This window comes from Homo sapiens, chromosome 7 (assembly GCF_000001405.40).
Source record: "Homo sapiens chromosome 7, GRCh38.p14 Primary Assembly".
Classification (NCBI taxonomy): Eukaryota; Metazoa; Chordata; class Mammalia; order Primates; family Hominidae; genus Homo; species Homo sapiens.
In genome coordinates, this window is record NC_000007.14 from 155355364 (window position 1) to 155381048 (window position 25685).

The 25685-nt window shown below is 54.7% G+C and overlaps 2 long non-coding RNA genes across 2 annotated transcripts, besides 4 other annotated features; one reads left to right on the plus strand and one right to left on the minus strand.

Moving 5' to 3' along the window:
- Positions 1 to 1624: 1624 nt before the first annotated feature.
- BLACE (B cell acute lymphoblastic leukemia expressed) lies at positions 1625 to 12570 on the minus strand. The gene is made up of 6 exons (NR_103545.1): positions 12446 to 12570; positions 7741 to 7834; positions 7449 to 7587; positions 5565 to 5721; positions 4537 to 4680; positions 1625 to 3417 (listed from the first exon to the last, which is right to left on the minus strand). It is a non-coding gene; the product is annotated as a B cell acute lymphoblastic leukemia expressed (long non-coding RNA).
- LOC105375593 (uncharacterized) lies at positions 8818 to 15668 on the plus strand. The gene is made up of 3 exons (XR_928236.4): positions 8818 to 9103; positions 9817 to 10027; positions 14439 to 15668. It is a non-coding gene; the product is annotated as an uncharacterized LOC105375593 (long non-coding RNA).
- Positions 16525 to 17036: an enhancer, noted in NCBI's record as "H3K27ac-H3K4me1 hESC enhancer chr7:155164583-155165094 (GRCh37/hg19 assembly coordinates)". NCBI's record gives its function as "activates a minimal SCP1, AML or CMV promoter by ChIP-STARR-seq in primed H9 embryonic stem cells {active_cell/tissue: H9 hESC(primed)}" and the evidence as "EXISTENCE:reporter gene assay evidence [ECO:0000049][PMID:30033119]".
- Positions 17230 to 17419: a silencer, noted in NCBI's record as "silent region_18846". NCBI's record gives its function as "represses an Ori minimal core promoter by ATAC-STARR-seq in GM12878 lymphoblastoid cells {active_cell/tissue: GM12878}" and the evidence as "EXISTENCE:reporter gene assay evidence [ECO:0000049][PMID:35858748]".
- Positions 18061 to 18572: an enhancer, noted in NCBI's record as "H3K27ac-H3K4me1 hESC enhancer chr7:155166119-155166630 (GRCh37/hg19 assembly coordinates)". NCBI's record gives its function as "activates a minimal SCP1, AML or CMV promoter by ChIP-STARR-seq in naive H9 embryonic stem cells {active_cell/tissue: H9 hESC(naive)}" and the evidence as "EXISTENCE:reporter gene assay evidence [ECO:0000049][PMID:30033119]".
- Positions 22723 to 23223: an enhancer, noted in NCBI's record as "H3K4me1 hESC enhancer chr7:155170781-155171281 (GRCh37/hg19 assembly coordinates)". NCBI's record gives its function as "activates a minimal SCP1, AML or CMV promoter by ChIP-STARR-seq in naive H9 embryonic stem cells {active_cell/tissue: H9 hESC(naive)}" and the evidence as "EXISTENCE:reporter gene assay evidence [ECO:0000049][PMID:30033119]".

The following is a 25685-nucleotide window of genomic DNA, read 5'->3' on the forward strand; positions in this document are numbered from 1 at the left end:
AAGATGGGAGGGGCTGGCGAGCCAGGCAGGGCACCCCCAGGCGAGCCCCCCAGAGGGCAGAAAGGCTGGGACTTGTCTCTCAAGTAAAAGTCGAGGTTGCGTGACTGGGGGTCTGTCCCCAAGGCTGCCCCCGGTGGAGACGGCCACCGCCAGTCCACAGGACAGTGGAACAAGAGCAGATTCCATCCACTTACCATCCACTCTCCAAAGTGTAGCCCTTAGACCTCACCTAACTGCAGAGGAGATGGCAATGTGTGCCCCTAACATGTAGTTCCCTGACTAAAGGGACACCTGCCGTCTCTGCCACACTGAACACAAACCCTGGGCCTGCACCCTTTTCTCGGTTCTACAGTAGAACATACTTGAGAAAAGAAAAGCTGACTTCAAAGGACAGGACGGGACCTGCTCAGGGATAGCTGAACTTGAATCTGGGTTCAAAGCCTTTGAACAACATATGATGGGCCTAGTATTTGGGGTCAGGGATCCACCTTCTAGACCACCAGGACGGCGGAGGGGAAAGGAGCGTTTCTTGTAGCATTCCCCTTGCCCCTCCTCCTGACAGGCTGAGGCACCTGGTCCCTGAATTGCAGGAGGCAGTGCCCCTCAGCCAGGCTGCACAACCTTCCGTGGCCGTGAGGGGCAAGGCTGGTCCTGGCTCCAGCCCCTGCCACACTGCTTTGCCCAGCAGCCCCGGACTCTCCTGCCTGCGGTGTGCAGGTTCAACACCCCCATATGATTTACAATACATCATTTGGACTAACAGCTGTTGTCTAAGCTGCCTGTTAGGCAGGGTTCTGCAGGGAAGCAAAGCTAATAGGGTGTGTGTGTGTGTGTGTGTGTGTGTGCACACAAACGTGCACACATCTATATGTCTGTATCTTTGTCAAGAGGAAGAGAGATATTTATTTTAACAAAAATTCACTCACTGATTGTGGGGACTGGCGGGACTGAAATCTGTTGAACAGTCTTGCCGGCTGAGATTCAGGTAAGAGTTGATGCTGAGGTCCTGAGCCCGCGTTCTGCTGGGTAGCCAGTGGGGAACTCTGGCTGGGTTCCTACATTATCAGCTTGAGACAGAATTCCTCCTCCCTAGGGAGACCTCAGTCTTTGCCTTTAGACCTTCAGCTGATTGGGTGAGGCCCACCCACGCTGTGGAGGGCCATCTGTTTACTGAAAGGCAATTGGTTATAGGTGTTAAACACTATAAATAGTGTATCTACTATTTATACTATCAATAGCGTAGCAGGTACATTGAGTTAACGCTGTCAGAGGAGACAGTCCTCTGCCTAAAGACAGACCTCAGGACATGTGAGATGTCTATGCAAAGCCTCCTGCCCACACAGAATATAAGCAATATTAGCTTATAAGCATGACAAGGTGACACTCACCACCACAGCTGCCAACAGGAACTTGCCTCCTTCTCCTGCCTGGACGTCCACCAATACGTTTTACATTTGTGTTTTAATTCCTTTGAAGGAAACCAGGAACTTTCTCTAAAAACAGTGCCCTCCAGTGGGCAAAATTCCATCGTCTAGCCAGGGAGCTGGGCCAAAGGCGGCCCCAGGCAAGCCGACTGTGGTGCCTACATCCCTGAAGGGTTGTCAGAAAACAAAGACAATGATTCAGGCAGGCCCTGGGTGGCCCACACAGCCACCGTTCCTTTATTTGTCATCTGGCCTTTGTAGAGAAAGTTTGCCGAGCCCCGATCTGAGCATCTTTCATCTTCTCTCTCCATGTCTTGCTCCACACGCCACCATCTGCCACTTTCTGGATGGGCATTGCTTACTCGGCCTGAAGCGACGCTGTGCTGACACTAACAGTCTTTAGGTATTTCCCCTTGCCTTGGTGCATCTGCCTCCCCCTCCAGACCCCACCTGTCCTGCTCACGGTGTTTGTCCTTTACCCAGAACTGATCTGGCGCATCTGCGTATTCATCAAGCCTAAGTATTCATTAAGCGTAGCAGGTGCATTAAGTTAACGCTGTCAGAGGAGACGGTCCTCTGCCTAAAGGCAAACCTCGGGACATGTGAGAGGCCTATGCAAAGCCTCCTGCCCACACAGAATATAAGCAATATTAGCTGGTTAGTCATTTACACATTAGTATAAACAAGTACTCCCATCCTAGCCATGAAGGATAATTTAAAAGAGAGGAAAGTTTGGGCAGAATCAGAACACTGATGCCTGAGCAAGTGGATGACCAGAGAGGAAACCCTCTCTGGAGACAGGAAAGAAGTGACTAAAAAGGGGAGGTTGCCAGCACTGAAGACAAACCGTCTCTATTTCATCACTTCCCCAGGACTTGGCCCAAGTAACAGCTCCTCAAACCTTTCATTGGGCAAAGACTGCTCGATGAGTGACTCATAAACACAAAAAGCACAGGCACCGCTGCTCTGCACCCAGAGACTGTTTCCCCGCAGGGCTGCCAGGGAGGATCCCCCCAGGGTCTCCAGAACACAGGGTTCTGAGGTGTCAGTCCACCCTCCGTGGGGGAAAGGACTCCAAGGGAAATGTCTGGTTAGATAAAGCCACGCATGTGTACTTCCTCCGGGGCTGCTCGGAGCCTTCCCTCTGCTCACACATATGCCGTCACCTCTAGGAGAGGTCACGGGTGGCGGCGTGTCCCGAACTCTTTCCAACACGAGCTGCCCCTCACTTTCTGCCTGGTCTGCCAGAAACACCGAGAGAAGCCAATCTTCCAAGGCCCTCCGTCTGGGAAACTCTGACCTGGGGGCCACGCTAAGGGGAAAGCTCCCGTTCTGTAAATCAGTGCTCTCTTCCGAGGCCCAGCTGGAGGCAGGGATGATGTCTTTCATCATTCGCAGGAGGATGGCGTAAGCCCTGAGAGGTGTGAAAGGTAAGTAACGCCATGCTTTCCAAAGTCCCTCTGCCCACAGCTCCTCCTTCTGAAGGGAAGAAGAAAGGAAAGGGAAGGGAAGGCGATCACGAGGAAAGGAGGGAAGGTGGGGGTGCCAGGCGAGGGAGAGGCTGGGGGAGGCCCTGCCGCACCCCCTCTGTGCCTCCCTGGGACAGGCCTCCTGCCCCTCCCTCTGCTGGCAGCCTCGGTCTGTCCAGTCTCAGTTCCGCCCAGATGCCTGCAGCAGAGCCTGCTGTGGGGACCTGCTGGAGACGTGCAGCGCGCACCCAGCCTCTCATCAGCTCCAGGCTGCGCTGTCACCCCATGGACAGTGACTTCTGGCATCCACGCACTCCAGACAGATGTGCAGCCAGCGCCGCCAGCCCGGAAGGGCATCTGACACGTTTCTCAGCTGTGTTCCCTCTTTCAAGGTCACTGGCTTGAGCTCTTCCCTGCCCCGAGCACACGGACGTGGCAGCGGGCAGCGGGCAGATGGTGCACAGTCTCACATCCTCGGGCATCCGGCGGCGCGGGGACCCCTGTGGTCTCTGCACTGCGGGCACCTGCAAGCAGAGCTCTGCAGACAAAACTGAAGCCCCCCATCATCACAGGCCGGGCTCCTGCCCCAGCCCCTGCGCTGCCCTCGGAACCAGCCTGCACGCCCGCCCCACGGAGAGGCAGAGCTCTGCAGCTCCACAGCCCACGTTGTGCTGGCCAAAGTCACCACTGAGATGCCGGGGACTCAGGGGGCACAGGTGACCCCGAGCTCTGGCTCTGCAGCCCCGCCCACTGCAGGTCTCCGTGAGAGTAATACCTGTGTGTATTGTATATATTTTCTAAATTTTCTGTGTATTATGTTTTGACATCTTAGAAAAGCTTTCTGGCTGGGGAGAGCCTGCCCCTCCAGGGGCTGGCCAATTCTGATACAGCGAGGGCTCAGAGCATGCCTTTCATACGCAAACTAGCCAGCATACCTCCTCTCTCTGGCCCTAAACTCCCCGGGCGATATTCCCCTGCCCTGACCATCACAGCGCCAGGTCCTGGGTGACTAGGGACCACCCCCACCCACAGCCAAACCTGCTGAGATGATTCCAACTGGCCAGTCCTAAAGCATACACCTCCCTGCCCTTCCTTTTTCACGGAAGCCCCACTCCTGCCCAGGCACTCCCCTTGCTCTTGTCTGCTGCCTCCTGACCGCCCTGGCACCCCCCACCATGGCCCAGAGTGCACTAAACTTCCTCCTCATCCCCTCCTGTGGCCACATGACTTGACCGTGCCACATGGGCACGACATTCTCAAAACACCAAGGCAGGCCCGGGGAGGTATTTTTAGGTGGGGGCTGGGGCTGGGGAGTGGCTGGAAGGAAAAGCAGGGCAGGCTGCAGCATCCTCACTCACTTCCCCCCATCCCTGGGCTTTGCACTTCCCCCCCCTCAGGGCAGACAGGTGAGGACACACGGGCACCAAAATAAGCAAAGTGATGCCACAGCGGAGGTGGCAGCTCTGGAGCTGCTGGCCTTGCTGCCCTTCTGGCTGTCCACTGACCCCCTCCTCCAAGCGCTGTATGAGTCTCCTGTGGCCACCAGAATGACGTCCCACAGACTGGGCACCTTTAACAGTGGACATTCCTTCCCTCTCAGCTCTAGAGGCTGGAAGTCCTAGATGAGGGTGTCAGGGCCTCACCCCCTCTGAAGTCTGCAGGGAGGATCGCCCTGCACCTGGCCCAGTTCTGGTGTGGCCGGCAATCCCGGGGGTCCTTGGCTCCAGCCTCCCCTCTGCTGTTGCATGGCTATCTTCTCTGGGTGTCTCTCTGTGCCTCTGCTCCTCCTACAAGGACACCAGCCATTGTACTGAGGGCTCACCCTACTCCAGGGTGACCTCACCCCAACCTCACCAATGACATCTGCAGAGACCCTATTTCTATATAAGGTCACATTCTGAGGTTTGGGGATGGACCTTAATTTGGGGCACACTATTCACCCAGTACCAGCAAGTTCTGCTCAAGAGCCTGTCTGTCTCCCCAGGGCCAGTGCTCCTGTCTCCCCAGGGCCGGTGGTCCTCTCCGGCTCGCTGTGAGAGGAGACAACCTAGAAGCCCAGCAGTGGACCAGGTGCAAAAAAGCCACAGTCAGAACCCCTGTCCTGGCATCTTAAATCACAGCAGGTGGGAGCCAACAGCCATGGCCAAACACAGAAAGCTCGCGATTCCCACACCCCTCCCGCTCTGACCACGGACGTCACTTCCCGGGGCCTCATCTGCAAAATGAAAGGCTGGAGTTACTCGGTCCTTTCTCTATCTCCCTCCAGACCCAAGGCTCAGACTGCCTTCTCCCAGGGAGGCAAGAGGCCATGACCTTCACCCTGGGAATGTGACTGAAGAAGCTACTGGCTTGCCAAGGTCACACAGCCAATGACAACAGAACGGGAATGAAACCTCCTCTCCTTCCTGACTCCCCGGCCAGAGCTGACTCGGCTGCGGGAGGACGCCTATCCCACCTGACCCACTTCTGGGCCATCTGCGCCTCTTGGGCACCCCCAAGCCCCAGTTCTTTGTTCCGTTAGTGCTTGCCTCTCCATCCTATGATTATCCTCTGATAGTTTCTAGTCTCTAGGACAGCAATCCTGTCCTGCCCTGTGAGTATTTGCTGACAGCAGAAATGGGCAGATAAGGAATGGACTTTCCGTGAAAGGAGGGGCTGCAGGGGTGTTCACCTCTGACACATGGGCAGGACAGTGGTGAGGTCCCCATCACCGTGCGTCGAGCCACAGCCAGGCAGTTCCCAGAAGGTGACATGAAATATCGCACTGGGGAGAGGGCAGGTTAGACCCTCCCACCGAGGAGCTGGGAAGTTCGCTGGGGGAAAGACACCTGTAAGAGTCAAAATCAACCCAAATAAGAAGTTTACAATCACTGAAAAACTGCCACAAGGTCCCCAGAGTATTGCAGACAGCTGCCACCGGAGCAAGAAAGGAAAGGAGAAGGAAACACCATCACCCACGTGCTTTCTCAAGGCCAGGAACTGGGGACGTTTATGGAGGAAATGGAGTCTCGGGGGAGTTAATCACCTCAGTGTCACACGGCTAAGTGCTGAAGCCAGGAAGGAAATCCAGATTCATCTAAAGCCATGTGCTCCCCCCGTACCTGGGTGGTGTCAGGGAGGCCCCACAGGCACCGAGGTTCCAGCTGGTGGAATGTGGATGGACAGGGCGTGGGGCGGGCCAGCATCCCCCGTGTAAGTCAGGAATGCTGGCTGCACGCTTGCTCATGGACGATGCATTTGACAGTACGTTCACTAGAGTGCTGTCATCCACGGCACCATCAGGAAGCACCTGGGGATGGATAGCGGCTGGCCAGGCCCCGTGGGACGGGCCTACAACATCACTCTATTGGATCCTCACAACCCAGGGTGGTGATGAGGGCACCCAGGCCCCAGAAGGTCAATTCACACACAGTCCCACCAAAGTGGTGCAACAGAGACTCAACCCCAAGACGTTCTGGCTCCAGAGGCCTCACTCCCAGCCACTGGACTGCTCCAGCCGACAGAGACAGCCCACGGAGGAAGGAGTGGGGGAAAGGGCTAAGGGCACAAAATGTAAAACACGCTCGGGATGCCACCACTTAAAGGGCTAGAGGATGGAGAGAGCAGTGAGGGAGGACGGGCGCTGGGCTGCACACAGCAGGGGCCCCACCTCACGGGATGCTCTCAGTCTGCAGGCCCAGGGGCTTGTAAGCACCACTGGGGAATTCACTAAACCAGCTTGGAAATTCACTAAACCAGATTGGAAAAGCCAAGCTCAGGCATAGCCCTCTCCAGCATCCTTGGCTCTCCAGCATCCTCGGAAATGCCAAATGTTTGGGGCCTCCCTGAATTACAGCTGTCCTCCAGACACCCTGCCTGCCCCTAGGCAGTGATGCTGCCTGGCATCCACTCCCTGCACTGCGAGATGGGACAGAATAATTTGGAACTGCCCGAGCCACCTGCCTCAGCCCCAAGGAGCTGCAGGAGGAGGGAAAGAGGCCTTGGCCTCTCTGGGACCAATGCGTGCTTCATGCGGGAGGGAGACCGTGTAGACTCCATTTCTATCCCATCTTTCTCCTTCCCGACTCTCCCCCAGTTAGTCCCTGATCACATGTTTTTTTCAAGAGCCTTGGAACAGATTCATTAATTAAATCCACAGAGCACAGCCTCCTGCAGCCCTTCCACAAGCTCTGGAAGCTGAATGCACCCGGAAGGTACCAAGAATTCTCGGGGTAAGACTGGAGGTGCTCTAAGGGAGGATCAGAGATGCCAGCTCACTCTGGAGTTCATCTGAACCACCCCAAGTCAACCACCGAGACAGCTCATGCATGGAGAGCCCAGATGATCATGAAATCAGATGCCTGCTGAGGGCTGGCCAACCCAGAGGCTTCTCCCACCCACGCCTCACCCCATCACTCCCCAGACTTGGCTGAGAGGTGGCCCTGCCCTAAGGAAGCACACATTCAGCAGGGAGAATCCTCCAGAAAGAGACCAGCTGTGAGGGGTGCCCACGGGCCACAGAGCCCCAGGGTCCACAGAGAGTGAGGCCACCTTGGGACCTGCATGGATACTTTACCTGCATAGTCTGTGTGTTGATTTAAACAGCCTCCTGGGATGCGGGACCCTGGATGGTGGTGAGCCAGTTCCTGCTGTAATATGTCCCGTCTGGCCTTCTGTTTCAGGAGCTCTGGTTAATGTATGATTTGTGAAGCTCCCTGGGGGAAAGGGATCCGCTACCAGACTGATATTTACAAAACCAGGCCTGCAGGGAAGGCGGCAGCTCGGTGTTCAGGCCTTACCAACACTCCCCTGGGCTCACTGTCATCTCCATTTAAAAACCAGACTGGACCAGATACCGTGGCTCATACCTGTAATCCCAGCACTTTGGGGAGCCAAAGCAGGAGGATCACTTGAACTCAGGAGTTCAACACCAGCCTGGACAACATGGCGAGACCCCCATCTCTACAAAAAAACAAAAAACCAAAAAAACAAATTAGCTGGGTGTGGTGGCCCATGCCTGTGGTCCCAGCTACTTGGGAGACTGAGGCGGGAGGATCCTTGAGCATGGGAGATGGAGGCTACAGTGGGCAGTGATTGCGCCGCTGCACTCCCGGCTGGGTGACCAAATGACACCCTGTCTCAAAAACAAAAAACAAAACAAAATGAAGTACAAAAAGACCCGGCCTGGGCACTCCGAATTCAGGAAAACCGTTTCAGGTGTCACACAACAGACCTGACCTCGGTGATCTAACCCCCATCTTCTTCCCACATTAGGCACCTTCTAAAGTGATTTGATTTTCTCTGAGTGAAAATTCACTTGCCACCTGCAAAAGTGACAGGGAACCCGGCTCCCAAACTTCTAAGTCTCCCCTCTGCCCAGACGCCAGGGCTTGCAGGTGCCTTCCCTTCACAGTGAACGCTTCTTCCCGTTTAAACTTTCATTTTGCAACTCTAGGTGAACTGAATGTCAAGAGTTTGGAGTTTATTTTCCTCCAGAGAAGGTCAGTGGTGGCTGGGTGAGGTGACCACAGAGGCGGGAGGGCCAGGGAAAGACTTACCAGGAGTTTTCATCTCTTTAGACTACATTAAGTCCAAACCAGGGAGCACTGAGTCAGCTCTCAGTTATCTGGGGGCCCATGAGCTTAGGGACTAACACCCCCGCCCACACCGAAGCCCTCTGCACCTTGCCTGCCTCACCCACGGAGACTTTGCACCTTTCACCTGCACGGACAGAAAAGGTCGGCAGAGGACAGCATGCAGCGGAATTCAACCCTGCCCCTTTCTCTGCCTGCAGAGGGTGCAGTTAAAAAAAGATAAAGTCATTGATGCTGCATCCGTTTATGTGGCTTCAGAGAACAGAGAATCGGTTTGAAGCGGGTGATTTCTCAAGGCTGTTCCCATCCCCCACAGTGGTCTATGAAGCTTTGAAATCTGGAACCTTATTTGTTATACAAGCAACTCGGGGGCAGTTTTCAAGACAGGCCAGTACAGGAGCCTCAGGGCTCAGCTGCCAGGGGAAGGAAGCCTCACTCTTTCCTCCACACTGTCAAGATACAAACGTGGATGGGAAGGGCACACTCCACAGAAATTCAAAGACCATGCACCCTGGCTGCGGAGCTCACGGAGGACAGGCCAGATGCGCAGGAAGAGTGAAGCAAGGCCCGTGAGGCAGGTCAAACGTCAAACCGACTCTATCGGCATCCAGAGGGGCTGTGCAGGAGCAGACACACCGTGGGTATCCCCATGGGACACTCTTGAGTGTCTGTCCAAGAAAGAGCTGAAGGGGGGACCACAGCACCAGTTCCTCCCAACCCCAGCACCTTCTGCTTCTCTGCCCCGTGGCCCTATTTCTATTCCTCCCTCCTTGGGCTCGTTTCATCTTCTCCCTGACCTAAGCCCTCGACCTGGGATTGACAGCTGTGGGTACAGACGGGCATGACTGAGCCCCGCTGGTCTTGCTGAGGTCTAAAGAGAAGAGTGGCTGAGAGCAGCTAGCGTTAGTGACAGGAATTGATCCCCAAGAGTTTCTCTCGTGCAGCATCCCAGCATCTGTGGTTATGATTCCTGCCCCACTTTGGAGGGAAGAGAATAAGACTCAGAGAGGTTGGAGGACAAAGCCACACAGCTAGTAAGCTCTAATTCAGCCTGCTGGGGGCTTAGCCCATGCTCAGAGCCACCATCCAGGCAGGCTCCTAAGTCTTCATTCATGGTTGTTTGCATTGCAAAGCCTTGGAATGAACTACAGCAAAACTCTTTGTTTTTGTAGGGAGCTAAGTTTTCTCGATGTGTAATAAGAATCTCAACTTTTAATCATATTTTGTCCACTTTGGAAGAAATCATCTAATTTGTTATTAAGCAGACACATCTCCTGACTTTTAATTGCAAGATATTAACTAAGCTTTCCTTTTTTTTGATGATTTGGGGACATTTGCTGGAGGGAGCAGTGACAGCCTCACTCCAGCTGTGTTGGTGCCATCCCTTGGGAAGGCAGGAGGTTTCAGGAACAGGAATCGTTGATGGGAACAGGTGTTTAGGCCAAAGAATTCCGAAGAGGTTGGCATTGCTGCCTTCCCAGATAGTGGACGGAAACAGGTGGATGGAGGCCAGGTCACCAGCGGGGATTAAGACTCATGCGATCAAAGCCCAGGAAAGAGGGTAAGTGGGAGCTGAGGCTCGGGCATTAAGACAACATCTGGAGTCTCTCCCGTGTGGGTTATTGGGTGAACGGCATTCAGGGCCAGCTGTGTCCTTTCAGATAAAACTAGAAGATTCAAACCTTCTTTCATTACATCTGCCCTCAGGGACAGGCAGGTTCTGAGGATTAAAGGCAGGGACTCTGCAGCTGGGTGGGTGGCTGGGCCTTCCTTCCGCCTCTCTCTTATCTATGCTTATTTATCCACATTGGATGGGACAGGAGTCTCTGTGAGAGGCAGTGCTGGCCAGTAGTTTTGAGCCAGATGGCGTGGTTACCATTCAAGGGAACGGGTCACCACTTAGCACAGTTAGCAGGCTGTGTGGCCTTGGGGAAGTCACCAAGCCCCTGGGTGCCTCTGTAAGATGAGAAGAAGAAGAGCATCTACCTTTGGGGCTTGCTATGGGGCTGCACTCACAGAGCTGCATGATGCCTGGCGATGCTGTGGGTTATTGTTATTATTATTACTACTACTATTACCTGCCAAGGCTTCCGTCTTTGGGTCTGTGGTTAGGGACCTGATGGTTGATCCTTTAATCCTTTTTTTTTTTTTTTTTTTTTTTTTTAGTTTTGTATAAATTATGTTTCATATCTTTTTATTTCAGAAATAATCATTGCTGGAAATGCTGTTAAATTTTTTGGAACTCTTCTTTTTTTTTTTTTTTTTTTTTTTATTGATCATTCTTGGGTGTTTCTTGCAGAAGGGGATTTGGCAGGGTCATAGGACAATAGTGGAGGGAAGGTCAGCAGATAAACAAGTGAACAAAGGTCTCTGGTTTTCCTAGGCAGAGGACCCTGTGGCCTTCCGCAGTGTTTGTGTCCCTGGGTACTTAAGATTAGGGAGTGGTGATGACTCTTAACGAGCATGCTGCCTTCAAGCATCTGTTTAACAAAGCACATCTTGCACCGCCCTTAATCCATTTAACCCTGAGTGGACACAGCACATGTTTCAGAGAGCATGGGGTTGGGGGTAAGGTCATAGATCAACAGGATCCCAAGGCAGAAGAATTTTTCTTAGTACAGAACAAAATGAAAAGTCTCCCATGTCTACTTCTATCCACACAGACCCGGCAACCATCCGATTTCTCAATTTTTTCCCCACCCTTCCCGCCTTTCTATTCCACAAAGCCGCCATTGTCATCATGGCCCATCCCCAATGAGCCGCTGGGCACACCTCCCAGACGGGGTCGTGGCCGGGCAGAGGGGCTCCTCACTTCCCAGTAGGGGCGGCCGGGCAGAAGCGCCCCTCACCTCCCGGACGGGGCGGCTGGCCGGGCGGGGGGCTGACCCCCGCCACCTCCCTCCCGGACGGGGCGGCTGGCCGGGCAGAGGGGCTCCTCACTTCCCAGTAGGGGCGGCCGGGCAGAGGCGCCCCTCACCTCCCGGACGGGGCGGCTGGCCGGGCGGGGGGCTGACCCCCCCACCTCCCTCCCGGACGGGGCGGCTGGCCGGGCAGAGGGGCTCCTCACTTCCCAGTAGGGGCGGCCGGGCAGAGGCGCCCCTCACCTCCCGGACGGGGCGGCTGGCCGGGCGGGGGGCTGACCCCCCCACCTCCCTCCCGGACGGGGCGGCTGGCCGGGCAGAGGGGCTCCTCACTTCCCAGTAGGGGCGGCCGGGCAGAGGCGCCCCTCACCTCCCGGACGGGGCGGCTGGCCGGGCGGGGGGCTGATCCCCCCACCTCCCTCCCGGACGGGGCGGCTGGCCGGGCGGGGGGCTGACCCCCCACCTCCCTCCCGGACGGGGCGGCTGGCCGGGCAGAGGGGCTCCTCACTTCCCAGTAGGGGCGGCCGGGCAGAGGCGCCCCTCACCTCCCGGACGGGGTGGCTGGCCGGGCGGGGGGCTGATCCCCCCACCTCCCTCCCGGACGGGGCGGCTGGCCGGGCGGGGGGCTGACCCCCCACCTCCCTCCCGGACGAGGCGGCTGGCCGGGCAGAGGGGCTCCTCACTTCCCAGTAGGGGCAGCCGGGCAGAGGCGCCCCTCACCTCCCGGACGGGGCGGCTGGCCAGGCGGGGGGCTGATCCCCCCACCTCCCTCCCGGACGGGGCGGCTGGCCGGGCGGGGGGCTGACCCCCCACCTCCCTCCCGGACGGGGCGGCTGGCCGGGCAGAGGAGTCCTCACTTCCCAGTAGGGGCGGCCGGGTAGAGGCGCCCCTCACCTCCCGGACGGGGCGGCTGGCCAGGCGGGGGGCTGATCCCCCCACCTCCCTCCCGGACGGGGCGGCTGGCCGGGCAGGGGGCTGACCCCCCTCCCCCCTCCCGGACTGGGTGGCTGGCCGGGCGGGGGGCTGACCCCCCCACCTCCCTCCTGGACGGGGCGACTGGCCGGGCAGAGGGGCTCCTCACTTCCCAGTAGGGGCGGCCGGGCAGAGGAGCCCCTCACCTCCCGGACGGGGCGGCTGGCCGGGCGGGGGGCTGACCCCCCCCACCTCCCCCCCGGACGGGGTGGCTGCCGGGCGGAGACGCTCCTCACTTCCCAGACGGGGTGGCTGCTGGACGGAGGGGCTCCTCACTTCTCAGACGGGGTGGTTGCCAGGCAGAGGTGCTCCCCACCTCTCAGACGATGGGCGGCCAGGCAGAGACGCTCCTCACTTTCCAGACGGGGTGGCGGCCGGGCAGAGGCTGCAATCTCGGCTCTTTGGGAGGCCAAGGCAGGCGGCTGGGAGGTGTAGGTTGTAGTGAGCCGAGATCACGCCGCTGCACTCCAGCCTGGGCACCATTGAGCACTGAGTGAACGAGACTCCGTCTGCAATCCCAGCACCTCGGAAGGCCGAGGCTGGCGGATCACTCGCGGTTAGGAGCTGGAGACCAGCCCGGCCAACACAGCGAAACCCCGTCTCCACCAAAAAAAAACGAAAACCAGTCAGGCGTGGCGGCGCGTGCCTGCAATCACAGGCACTCGGCAGGCTGAGGCAGGAGAATCAGGCAGGGAGGTTGCAGTGAGCCGAGATCGCAGCAGTACAGTCCAGCTTCGGCTCGGCATCAGAGGGAGACCGTGGAAGGAGACCGTGGGGAGAGGTAGAGGTAGAGGTAGAGGTAGAGGTTAGAGGTTAGAGGTTAGAGGTTAGAGGTAGAGGTAGAGGTAGAGGTAGAGGTAGAGGTAGAGGTAGAGGTAGACGTAGAGGTATCCTTTAATCTTTCTAGGACAGGTACAGTGGCTCATGCCTGTAATCCCAGCACTTTGGGAGGCCGAGGTGGGAGGATCACTGGAGGCAGGCGGATCACTGGAGCCAAGGAGTTCAAGACCAACCAGGGCAACATAGTGAGACCTTGTCTCTACAAGAAGTTTAAAAAATTAGCCAAGCATGGCGGCGCATGCCTGTAGTCCCAGCTACTTGGGAGGATGAAGCTAGAGGATTGCTTGAGCCCAGAAGGCAGAGGCTGCAGTGAGCAGTGATCACACCACTGCACTCCAGCCTGGGCGACAGAGCAAGCTCCTATCTCAAAAAAAAAAAAAAAAACAGATAATCTTTCTAGGACTTGATTTCCCAGGCTCCATAATGGCAATCTGCGCAGGCAGCTTCTGGCTCTGAGTCTTCCTGTTTCTGTGGTGCCACTGCCAGCACAGGGAGGTCATTCTGTATCATGTCACTTGCTTGGTGTTTTACACCCATGGATGATGAAACAGCAACTGCAGCCTGGAGTGCTGGGAGGCAGAGAGAGTCTCGCTTCCCAGGCCATCTGGCTTACTGTGAAGGCCAGAAGCAGCACAGCCTCTCTTGGTCACCAGGGATCAGGACTCAGGTGGAGAGGGTGGGGCAGGGGCTGGCAGTGGAGACAGGTCCACACTGGGAACCAGCTGTGCCAGGCAGTGTGGCCCTGAAGCCCCTAAGGTGTGTCAAGAGGGGTCTTTCAGGAAATGGTTAGAGAGTGCAGGTGTTGTGTTTCTCTCTGACATGTAAACATATGTCTTTCTAGACAGGCAGGTCTCCCTATACCTGCCTTACGTGGGAAGCACGTCCGCAGGAGAGGTGCCACCCAGTGCCTCCAGCACTGATCAGGCCTTTCTCAGGTGTTGGGCAGGGAGAGGCAGAGCCCAAGAGAAGCCTCAGCAGAACACTAACAGTGGAAAGGAGGCAGTGAGGTGGAAGCAGCTTCTTTGGTACATGCAGAAAGTTCTAGAAAGGCCTTTTGGCTTAGAATCCTAGCTCTATTCACGTGAAGCAGCACTTCGGCATGAGGTGGTGCTTGAGGGCCCCTTGTCTGAGTAAAACGTGGATGTTGTAGCTGGTTTTGGGGGCTGTGGGACTCCCCCATCTGCACACCCCCTACTCAGCCGATGTGGTAAGCATTTAGCCACAGCAAGTGCTTACTTAGTATTTGTTGGTTCCTGATACACAGAAATCTCTGTGATCCAAGCAGTGTTTCTCCCATAGGACTCTACCCTGCCAACCCTCAGCTCGGCTCAGCTCAGCAGCTCGCTAACTGTGAAACTCGGACGGACATCCTGTGATCACTCCAACGCTTTAAAATTCATCAAAGCGCAGAGCGCTGCCTGGCCGCAGCCCATTGCTCTGTTGTTCTGAGGGGCAAGGCCACAGCGACCTACAGCAGGGAAGAGACAAACACAGATCTGGTGCAGAGATTATTCGGGTCATCGATGACAGGCAGGCAAGAAAGCAGGAGCGTTTCCTGCACGGCCACACCCAAGCAGAACCTTTTCAGGGTACTCATCCCTTTTTAGGCTGGGCTTCGCTCCCCAGCGAGGTCAGCAGGGCCAGCTGATTGTTTTTATTTTACAGGTGTGGGATTCCCTCTGGGGTCTGACTGCCACACTCAGACACAGAAGGGGCAGCAGGGGCAGGGTTTCTAGAGACAGACCTCCTCAGTCAAATGCTGGCCACTTACCAGTCAGCAGGCTTGGAAATGTTATTTTGCCCCTTTGTGCCTCAGTTTCCTCAGATGTAAATGGAGATAATAAATGTACCTATCTCGAGGAATAAATAAAATCACCCACAGGCCAGCTGTGATGGCTCATGATTGTCATCCCAATGCTCTGGGAGGCTGAGGAGGGAGGATCTTTTGAGGTCAAGAGTTCAAGACCAGCCTGGGCAACATAGTGAGACTCTGTCTCTACAAAAATTAAACAATTGGTGGTGTGCACCTGTAGTCCTACCTACTCGGGAGGCTGAGGTGGGAGGATTGCTTGAGCCCAGGAGGTCGAGGCTGCAGAGAGCCATGAGTGCGTCACTGCACTCTGGCCTAGAAGACAGAATGAGACTATCTCAAAAAGTAAATAAATAAAACAGGTCGGGCGCGATGGCTCATGCCTGTAATCCCATCACTTTGGGAGGCTGAGGCAGGTGGATCACCTGAGGTCAGGAGTTCAATACCAGCCTGACCAACATGGAGAAACCCCGTCTCTACTAAAAATACAAATTTAGCTGGGTATGGTAGCTCATGCCTGTAATCCCAGCTACTTGGGAAGCTGAGGCAGGGGAATCGCTTGAACCCGGAAGGTGGAGGTTGTGGTAAGCCAAGATAGCACCATTGCACTCCGGCCTGGGCAACGAGAGCAAAACTCTGTCTCAAAAAATAATAATAATAAATAAATAAAAATAAAATCACCCACAAAACATGCTGAAAAGACACTTGGCCTGCCGGAATCACTCGTGAAAGTTAGTCATTGTTACAGGGGTGGCTACTAGTTCCACCTGTCCCCAGACACTGTGTGCCCCACCTGAAAGTTAGTCATTGTTACAGGGGTGGCTACTAGTTCCACCTGTCCCCAGACACTGTGCGCCCCACCTGAAAGTTAGTCATTGTTACAGGGGTGGCTACTAGTTCCACCTGTCCCCAGACACTGTGCTCCCCACCAAGTGATGGCTAGGAATCCACTCATGCTGTATTCAGACGGCCACCCCCAGACCCCTCGACTCCTACCCTAAAGCCCTGTTTTGCAAGGGCTGGGTATGTTTGCAGGATTCTGCAAGAATTCTGGTTCAAGGTTCAAAGGAACCATTTAAGAGTCCAATCGGACACCATCACAACCCAAGGACGGCCCTGGCCCCTCTGCAAGGGGTTTAGCTCAGCAGCCCGCAAACCTGCAGAGGCCTGCAGGAAGCCCCATCCCACCTGCGAGGACCCTGGCTGGGCAAGCAGTCCCTTCTTGTCAGTCGATCGAACAAAGGCCTCTCGTCCTTTCCGTACCTGGGAACGCAGGGCAGGTGGGGCGGGGAGTGGAATGAAACAGTCTGATCGGCGGTTATTGGCAGAGGAAAATGAAAGAACAAACTCCCTTTGCATTTTTTGGCTTGGTGTGCAAGAATGATGAATCCAGCCAGGAGAATAGGAAAACAACTTCGTGACCCGCTCCATCCCCTCTTTCCCTGTTGCAAGGCGAGCGGACCGCGCTGCACGGGTCCAGGCTGGGTGCCCCTCTCCCCTGGGGTAAAGAGGCAGCACAGGTTGGGACAGCTAGATGGGGGCAATCCAGGCGTCCTGCCCACGGTTTCCTGGGAGCCAACAAAGGCGCCGAGACCTCACCCGTGTGAGGCAACCGCCCCGTGGTCCCACAGAGCTTCTGGAAGTCTGCGTCCCGGCCTTCCCGATGCAAGGCGCCCTCTCCACCTGCCTCGGCCGTGAGCAGGTTCAGGAGGGCGAGAAAGGTTAGGCCGAGCGGAACCGCGCGGCCAGCGTTACGCAGGGTGCCCTGGACACCCCTAGGCGCCCACCTGGACTTGTTCCCACCTCCTCTCGCCCCTTGCCTTCTTAACCCGCATTACCCGTGTAGGCCTGGGGTGGAATCGGACTACTTGTTCGGGATTTGCTCGAGAACATTCTAGGGAGAAGGCACGCCCGGCTTTGGGCTTGGCCGAGAGTTTAGGGCAGGAGCGCCGGCGGGGAGCTCCCCGGGTGCTGGAGAATGCGTGTCCGGAAAGAAGTAGGGCGCGCTTCGTGGATGCAACCAGGGCCGTCTCGCGCACTTTCTTCCTACCCTGGGACAGCGCCTGAACTGGAGCTGGGCGCACACACTTTACGGAGCCAGCTCGGGTTCTTACGCCCTGGCTCACCCCCGCCCGCCGCCCCAGGATGCAGGTGCTGCGGCGCTCCCTGGTAGCCTCCCGCGCTCCCTGGGGGCGCGCTTTCCTCCATTTCAGGGAAGTCCCCGGACAGGTGCCCACGTTTTACGCTGTCCGGTAGAAGCCCGCGGGCTCAGGCCGACTTGCGCGGCCGCTTCTCCCCAGGGAGAGAAGCTGGAGCTTCCCCCACGCGGCCCTAAGGCGGGGCCGGCTGGGCCGGAGTGGGCGCGGCCAGGGTGTCCCAGCGCGCCCCCTGCCGACCGCGCGCTGCGGGGGGCAACTCCACCTCCCCTGGGGAGGCCTCGTCCCCGCTGCAGGGAGACTAAAGCGTGGGTCCGCGACCAGCCGGTTTAGGAACGAAAACTCTGGAACTAAAAACAAAAAATAAAACTGGTGAGTGCGCAGCGTGGTCAGTGTTTCCCTCTGGGTAATGCTTGGCCAAGGGGGAAGATCGAGTACTCCCGCCCACATCCGCCTCCCCCAGGAGGGAGGATTCCCTCTCTGCTCACCCACCCTGACCCACGCCTCCCGCCAGGTCCACTGCTCAGACAAATCTGTAGGTTTCTGAGTATCCGTATCTCGAAAAGCTTCAATGCACAAACGAGGTTTTAAGCCCATCGCGGCTTCGCAAGGGGAAGGGGCTGCTTCCCTAAAAACAAAACACAACAAAAAAGGCAAGGGGGTACTCTTGCAGATGGACTGGAATTAGTAATTTAGCCAGGGTCTCTTCCAAACTCACTGCAAAATTCGCCAGCGTCTCATTCTTCACACACGGGGCACCACACGAGAATCACCCCCTCCCCAGAATTTTGCAAAGCACGTTTGCTGAGTTTTCTCGCCTTTCCTTCCGACAAGCTCGAACTGGAACCAGCGCTCTCCCCTCTAGACCTGCCTCCGCGCCCCACCCTTCTTCCCCCACACAGTCCCTCCGCAGGGAGAATTCAGGTGCTAAAAATGCTCGGGCCTCGCAGCTTCCTCCCTCCTCCTCGGTTCCTCGAATGACCCAAGCTGCCTCTTTCCGGGCCCTTGGAAGACGGTGCGAATTCCGCGGCGGCCCGCTCTCGCCAGCGCCACAGCCCTGACTCCCACCCGGAGGCCTGAGTTCAACCGCTTTCGCTTCCTTGCGGGCCGTTCAACCCTCTGAATACGCAGATTCATTTATTTATGTTTTTTAATGTAGTAAGTGGGCAGCTAAATGAATTGCAATTTGTCATTTTTATGGTTAATTTGAAATCTCGCTCTTGTTGCCTAATCCTGTTAGTTGGTGGCAAAACAAGGAGAAACGCGTGTTTCGGCAGCAGTGATTCTAACAGGCGTTTTATGTTAAATTACAGCAGAACCCAGAACAAAAGCAGGCGGCGGACTTGCAGTCCCAGCGGCCTCGGCCGGTCCGCGCTGCCGGTGTGAGCCCCGAAGGAAAGCACCCCAAGCTGGCTGACCCCGCGCACCCCCGGCCACACCCGCCCATCCTGGCTTCGAGATTAAGAAGCCCAGTTTGGCACCCCAATTATGTTTGGCAATGTCCCCGGTGCCCCAGACCCGCACTCCGCTGCCTCCTGGCTTCTCATGCCCGCGAAGCACGGCCTCGCCCTGGGCGCGGGGCATCACCGGCGCGGAGGCCCGAGGGCGGGTCACTTCGGATCCCTTTCTTCCCTTCCTCGTCTCTGCCTCTTTTCCTTTCTTTTCTCCCTCCGCCTCTCTGTCAGCTCTTCCCGTCGTTTCCTCGGCACCCAGCTCCAGTCCAGGCGCTGTCCCAGGGTAGGAAGAAGGGCGATGCCCCTTCTTCCCCTTCTCTGGTCCCCTCCCCAGCCTCCGGCTCCCCAAGGTGCAGGGCTCCGGCGGGGGCTGGGCCGGGCGGGTGGGTTTCTGAGCCGCAGCGCTTGGAGCTGGGGGAGCGGGAGCAGGGGCGGCCCGGCGGGCGGGCCGGGACCCGGCTTTTCCGGCTACCCGTGGGCCAGGTGCGGGTTTCAGCACGCGGGGCGCGTGTGGGCGGAGGCGCCGGGGCCCGCGGCTCCGCTTGTTCGCGCGTTGTCGCTGGCGAGGCGTTTCTTGTCCCCGGCGCCCGCTCGGTGCCGTCTCAGTGAGTTTGATTGAAACGCGGCTGCGGGAAGGGGTCGACAGAGGCAAGCTGCGAGCAAGGCGGGGGTGGGGGCGAGGAAGGGGACCCGGAGAGCTCCCGGAGGGCTTGGCCGGCCACCGCCGCGCGGCGCTGCTCGGGGACTGCTACTTTGCAAGGCGGCGGCTGCCCCTGCGGGGTTCGGGTTGCAGGGTCAAGTGTCACGTCCTCCGCAATCTCCAATATTCCTGTAATGTATTTAAATGGACGAATTCATTACGCGGGGCCGTGTGAATGGGGCGAGGCCGCGAGCGCGGCGCGATCAGTAGCGCCCACTAACAGTTCGTTCTGCACGGCGGAGCGCGAGACCGCGGACCCACGGAAGCCCCCTCAATGGTGTTTGCGTCCTCGCCGCCACCGGCTTGGTAGGGTCCTTTAGGGAAGGAGGAAGAGTTCAGGCACCCGGACAGATCCTAATGGTCTTTCTGATTTTTCTTTCCCTTCGGTCCGCTTTCCCCGCGACCTCCTCCACCCTCAGTCCGCCTTTCAAACGTCGTCCGCGGGGATGGCTGCGCGATGGAGAAATTGGTCTCGTCCAGAGACGCGCGCACAGCCGTCCCCGCGCACACGCGACACGCCCAGGGCCGGCGTCCACGTGAGGGCAGCACCCTAGGTCGGGTCAGTCAAACCCCACAGCGGGGTTTCAAACAGTGTAGGGGAGGGGAAGTAGGAAAGGTCATTAAGATAAAAACAAAAATAAAAACCAGTGGCTCTTCTAGCTAAGGGGATGGCAGCGGGGGTGGAAAGTTAATAACAGGTAAGATCGCTGCCTACCCTCCCTCTGTTTTTAAGACAAAACATTGAATAAATTAAAAGGGAAAATACCCCCTGTCCCTTCCACCAGGCCTCCCGCCACATCAGGACTCCAGTGGGGTAACAGTAGGTACACACTGGACTTGCCAAGTCTGCAATCCAGCAGTCCTCAGATTAGGGACCGGAGGAAGGAAGTGCAACTCCCAGAGAGGGCAGCCAGCCTTAGCGGCGGTGACAGCTTCCTCACGGTGGTCCTGCAGCTGGAGCTCCAGAGAAAGAAGGGAGGAAGCACTTCCGGAAGTCTCTGCCAAGAGATTTTAAATTGTGTTGCCTGCGGATTTTGTGGTTGAAAGAATTACCTGGTGACTTGCCAAATCTCTGAGTTTGTTGAAAGGAGATGACCTGCCCTTAGAAACCCCTCCATTCCTGCCTACCTCCGAGACCAGAGGCTGTGCCTCTCTTTCTCTTTTCTTTCCTAGTCCCCACAGGAGGGAGGAGGAAGGTTACAGCGTTTGTGGAATCAGGCTGCCAGGCGACGTTTCGTGGTTGTATTTGGCCCACTAAATCCTAGGTCGCTCTTCCTATGTACGACTGTAGACTCACCTTCTGTATCTTATACAGGAGATGTGTAGATGGCCCATAAAGGGCAGACTTCATACAAACCCTGTGTGAGCAGTGGGATTCACTGTAGGAGGTGCAGTGGGTATTTTCTCAAAGGCATTTACACCCAAGAGTTAACACCAAGTTGACGGGACCAGAGGGTCTTTGGTGAGCAGGCCACCAGAGATGGAAAGGAAGCTTCTCTTGTTCTCTGGTGCCAGTTGTGGCTGGATCTTCGCATCCTGGAGCCCAGCAGTCCTGTGATGTAGTGAGTCAATCCAAGACCCAAATGTAGGCAGGAGGCATCCTTGCTTCCTTCAAGAACAAGTCAGAGAATCAAGTAAGGAGGAAATAAGTGACATGCTAGTGAAGGCACAGTTATCTAGATGGTTGTTATGGGGTTCTCGTCTCGCCAAGCTTTAGATAGATCTGTTTCCGGAAAGCTCACTTTTAAAAAAATCAGATTTGAAGATTGTTGGAATTCTGGCTCTTTATAGTGAGTCACATCTCTATAGTCAGTTCATTTTCACTCGCATATGAGGTCTCAGTTTGAGCATCATGTTTTAAACTGTCTGCAATTTGATTTACTGGAAATACACCTCTACAGAGAAGGTGTAGTCTTTCCTGGTTCCATTCCCAATAGTATGAGGGTTATGTGTGAAGTTATTTGCATTTGTGTTCTCTGTCATTTTCAAATCACGGAATTTAAGAAGTATGTATAAATAGATTAAGTGCACAATAATACAACAAACCTAAAAGAGTTGGCAAATTAAACCTTGAAATTCTTTACAAAATTCCATATCTTATAAAGGACAACCATTAAGGGGACTTTGGTGTCAATATTTTCTGTAATGCAAGCCCTTTAATACTTTTCCACCACAACCTAAATTTGTCTGTAATCAAGCTACTGAGATAGGAATGCTGCATTCTCATTTTCCTCCTCCTATAAGCCTCTGTACCAAAACATTCAAAGGCCAGGCATTTACTTTTTATTTATACATATTAAAAATTTCTTCCAGGAGTGAAGTTTCCAAACACAACGTGTCTGGACAGGAAGCAAATGTTGTTTTAGGGGAAAGTTCTAATAACCCCATTTATGCAAGCACATTAGAGCAGAAAGAATCATTTCTGTTAGTTAACATTTTTGAGCCAGAAAATTAAAAACAAATATTTAACTTCCCAATTTGGAATTCAGGCTGGCATTGACGTCTAAACTTTGACAATGCATACTCAATGAATTAAACACAATCTCTACTAGCCAAATAAAACTGCCTTCATGTGGCTCAAAATAAGTTTGAATAAACTGAAAGATAAATAAAATGCACGGGGGACACCCAGGAAGAGAGCTGATGTGTGTGAGCTTGGCCAAAAGACGGCTTTTGGACTCTGCTCAACTCAGGGGTTTTATGACACCTAATAAAGCTATACTTAGAGAAGACAAATATTCAATAAATATGAGCACATACTTACAAACATATGTACTGTTTTCACTTTTCTTCTTCCAAACCTACTTTTACAGCAGTTTATTATTGGATATGAATTTCCCCTTCTCCATTTCTCATCACAAATTAGGTGGGCTCCTAAAGCGTCCCATTTCTCCCTTTAGATTTGGGGCCCCCCAGCTGATAAAGGAGTTGTGATTGCAGGTGGATTTGATCTGATTTCCCCTGAACAGGCTGGCGGTGGGAAGCAGGCATTGGAGTCCCACGGCTCACTGGACTGCAGCAGCGAGCCCTTCACGGTTGCAAAGGAAGGAAATTCCTAGCGGGGCAACTCTTCAGCGTCCGCCCCACAGACCTAGCACGATGTCCTTTTCTGTCTCAAGATACATCTGGCTGGGCTTCCCTAAAACCGGGCTTAGTTGGACTCCTTGGACCTGGGGATGAATTCTTGCCAACTATCTCCAAATATTTCCCCTACACCATGCCAGTGCAATTCATGTCTCCAAACCCCCTCTCCTCCACAAAAACGAAACAAAACAAAACCCCAGGTCCAGGAGCTCAGGCCCAGGCCGGATCCAAGACGCGGCAGCCAGGCAGCCCCGCCGCGAGCCTGTGCGGGCTTGAGCCGGCTTGGCCCCCGGAAGCCCCAGCCCCGCGCTCGGCAGCGTGCGCCCAGCGCCCAGAAGAAGCAGCTCCAGGCGGCCGCGCTCCCCGTCCCGCCGCGGTGCGGTCGGATGCCCAGCTCGCGTCCAGACCCGCGGGATGCAGACCCGGATCAGTCAGGCTTGAGGGCTGCTCCGCATAGACCAACGTCCGGGGAAGGCACACAGTGGCCGAGGGCCCGCGCGCTTGGGCTACGGCTGTGATGGTATCTGCGCTGCTTGCGCCTTGGGGATGGGAGGCCGCCTTTGCTGACTGAAGGGCCTGAAGAGGAGGCTTCTGGGGTCCCTGTAGCCTCACCCTGGATTCACAAAATCAAACACTATCTCCTTTCCCCTTCACCACCCCCACCCCACGAATACACATGGTGAAGAGAGGTTCACTTCTGTTCCTGTTGCTGAGTTTCAGCTATGCCCCTCGGCCTCGGAGGATGGCTCACCTTTACTGTGAATTTCTAGCTGAAAGAACAATGCTGAGAACAGGGATAACAAGAGGACCTCTCTAACAAATGCATCTGCTAGTTACAAAAGGGCTGGGAAGAACGGCTCAGGGACATTCCTCCCAGACCCAAGGAAAGGGAATGGAGACACATTTTGATGTTTTCTACATACTTGGTCAACTTGCAGCTACTATAGAACCCGCTCCCCACGGCCAGCTCTTCCTCCTGTTTTAGGGAGAATTTTGTTCAACATTCTACATTCTAGGGACCCTTCCTCATCAGATTAAGTGCAGAGTTACAGCAAAATAAGTCAGAGGAGAAGGATGGGGTAGAGATGGAGCGGAAGCTGGCGCTGGAGCCACTGTGTCCTGCCGGCTGCACCTGCACTCAATCTCAGGTACCATGCTGGACAGTGGGGAAAACAAAAACCTGGAGAACAGCCCAGAAAACTCCGCCAAGGTTTTATAGCTTAAAGATGGGGAGAGGAGGAGGCAGGAAGGGTTGGGCTCTGCAGGCCTTTAGAACGATCGGAGGTCTAATGAAAATAAATACCTTGTAAACATGTGGGTACCAAGTAACCAGAAGAGAGCTTAGACCAAGAAGGTCGGGGGGTCTTTTCCCACCTGTGAGAAAATAAGAGATCCTGGAGCTCTGCAGCCTTAGCAATGAACTGGATTACTGATTAGTGTTTAGAGGCACCCATGCATGAGTTGGCAAACCAAGCCATTGAAATGTGGAATCAGCAGGATCTGGCTTTTTGAATGTCCATTACTTCTCATGTACATGCATATCTATGTTAAATATGGAAAAGAAGAAAAAATTTAAAAGAGAAACAGAACCCTGCTTTACCAGATTAATCAAAATGGAATGATAGATTCTTGAGTTTGAAATAACCCCCGCCCCAGGAATTCTCCAGCGTCTCTGCAAGAAGCTCTCAGACAGACAGCAGTTAAACAAGGTCGGCAAAACCGACTCTCAGATTCAACAAACTGCTCTTTCTGTTTCTGCAACAGGAAGAAAACATTCCACGAGCTGATGGAAGCCCTCACAGACATACATCTGTTATGGCTTTCCCAGAATCCTGACCCCTGGACAATTCTTTTGGGAACACCCTTCTCTATCTAAGGAAAATGACATTCCTAAACCCTGCCCTGCCACCTCACATATGCAGAGTCTGAAAGGGAAGCCAAAACCCCTTGGTCATCCTCACTCTCAGCCCTCTGCCCAAAAGGGGGAACTTTGATCAAATGCAACTTTCTTCTCCTTTGGCCCCAAGCTTCTGTGCCCTCAGTTCACACTCACCCAGAATGCAAAAGCATTTGGATTCAGTGCTGTCCCCTCTGGCTTTCTGTCTGTCATTTGGCCTGGAAAGGACGGTCAGAAATGCCATGGACAGTTACAATTCGACTCAGTAACTTCCACATGGCTCATGAATGTCCTTGGCCACCCGGGAACTGCAGCCCTCTGCCCCCCAAGTTAATTGCTAAATGATTTGCAAACTTAAACAATTATACATTCTCTCTTGACTTGCCCCGAAGAAATCATGTTAATTTATGACACACTCACATGATCCTGATTAACAAACCTAGACTAAATTTGCATGTGGCAAAATGCAATACAGATATATATTTTAAAAAATAATATAAGCAGGTTTTTGCCAACTCTTTTCTCCCACGGTTTAATGACCTACCATCCTGGTTCATACGTTTTTTAACACCTGACTTTGGATATTTTTTTAAAATGAATCGATTTGTAGTCATTGCCTGGCTGCCTGTGGGGAAGGAGCTCCTGCCGTTGGCAGACACCTCTGCAGCCAGGCGTGGGGTGTCCTTCCATCAAAGCAACGCCAGGGGGCAAGAAGCGTTAACAAAGCCCGGGACGCTCCGCACTCTCCCTTTATCTACCCGTGTGTGCGTGTCACACTTTCCAGGGCGAAATGTCATTTTGCAAGGTTATACATTTCCAATTCCTCATAGAGCCTTATCGCTCATCATTTACCTCTTGGGCACAAACAAACAGCCTCTTTAAATAAAGCCAGGGAAGGGAAGCATATACCTTTGTACAATTAAAAATAGCACAAGAATGCCAAAATGTATTGGACCTTGCTGTTAATCCGACTTACCTGGCTGACACTCTGGCCTAATCCTATTTTCTCCTCGCATTAGAATGACTCTACAAGGCTACGTTTTGTTCTTCGGGAGCACAGTTTACCTGGCCAGTGGGCTGAGGATCAGAGAAGCCTCACCACCTAAGGTGGGGAGAGGGGCTGCAGACTGCCCAGCCTGGCCCCAGCCTGCTGGAGGTCCCAGTGCAGAGCCTGCTTGGCGAGACAGAAAGCAAACGAAATCACTCAAGGGAAACTTCGCTGGAGACAAAACACATTCAATTTCCTGAGGATTCTGCTTTCTCTCAGGAATTATTTGCTTTTGCCGAGGCACATTAAACAAATTAAACACTAAAAATGGAAGCTCCTTTGCTTCCTGGCTCAGAAAATAGTTTTTTTTTTAAAGGATATAGTACGAACAGTAATACAAATGAAAGAAAACAGTAACACTCTAGCTCTTTAAAATAAACTCATGTGGGCACCTAAA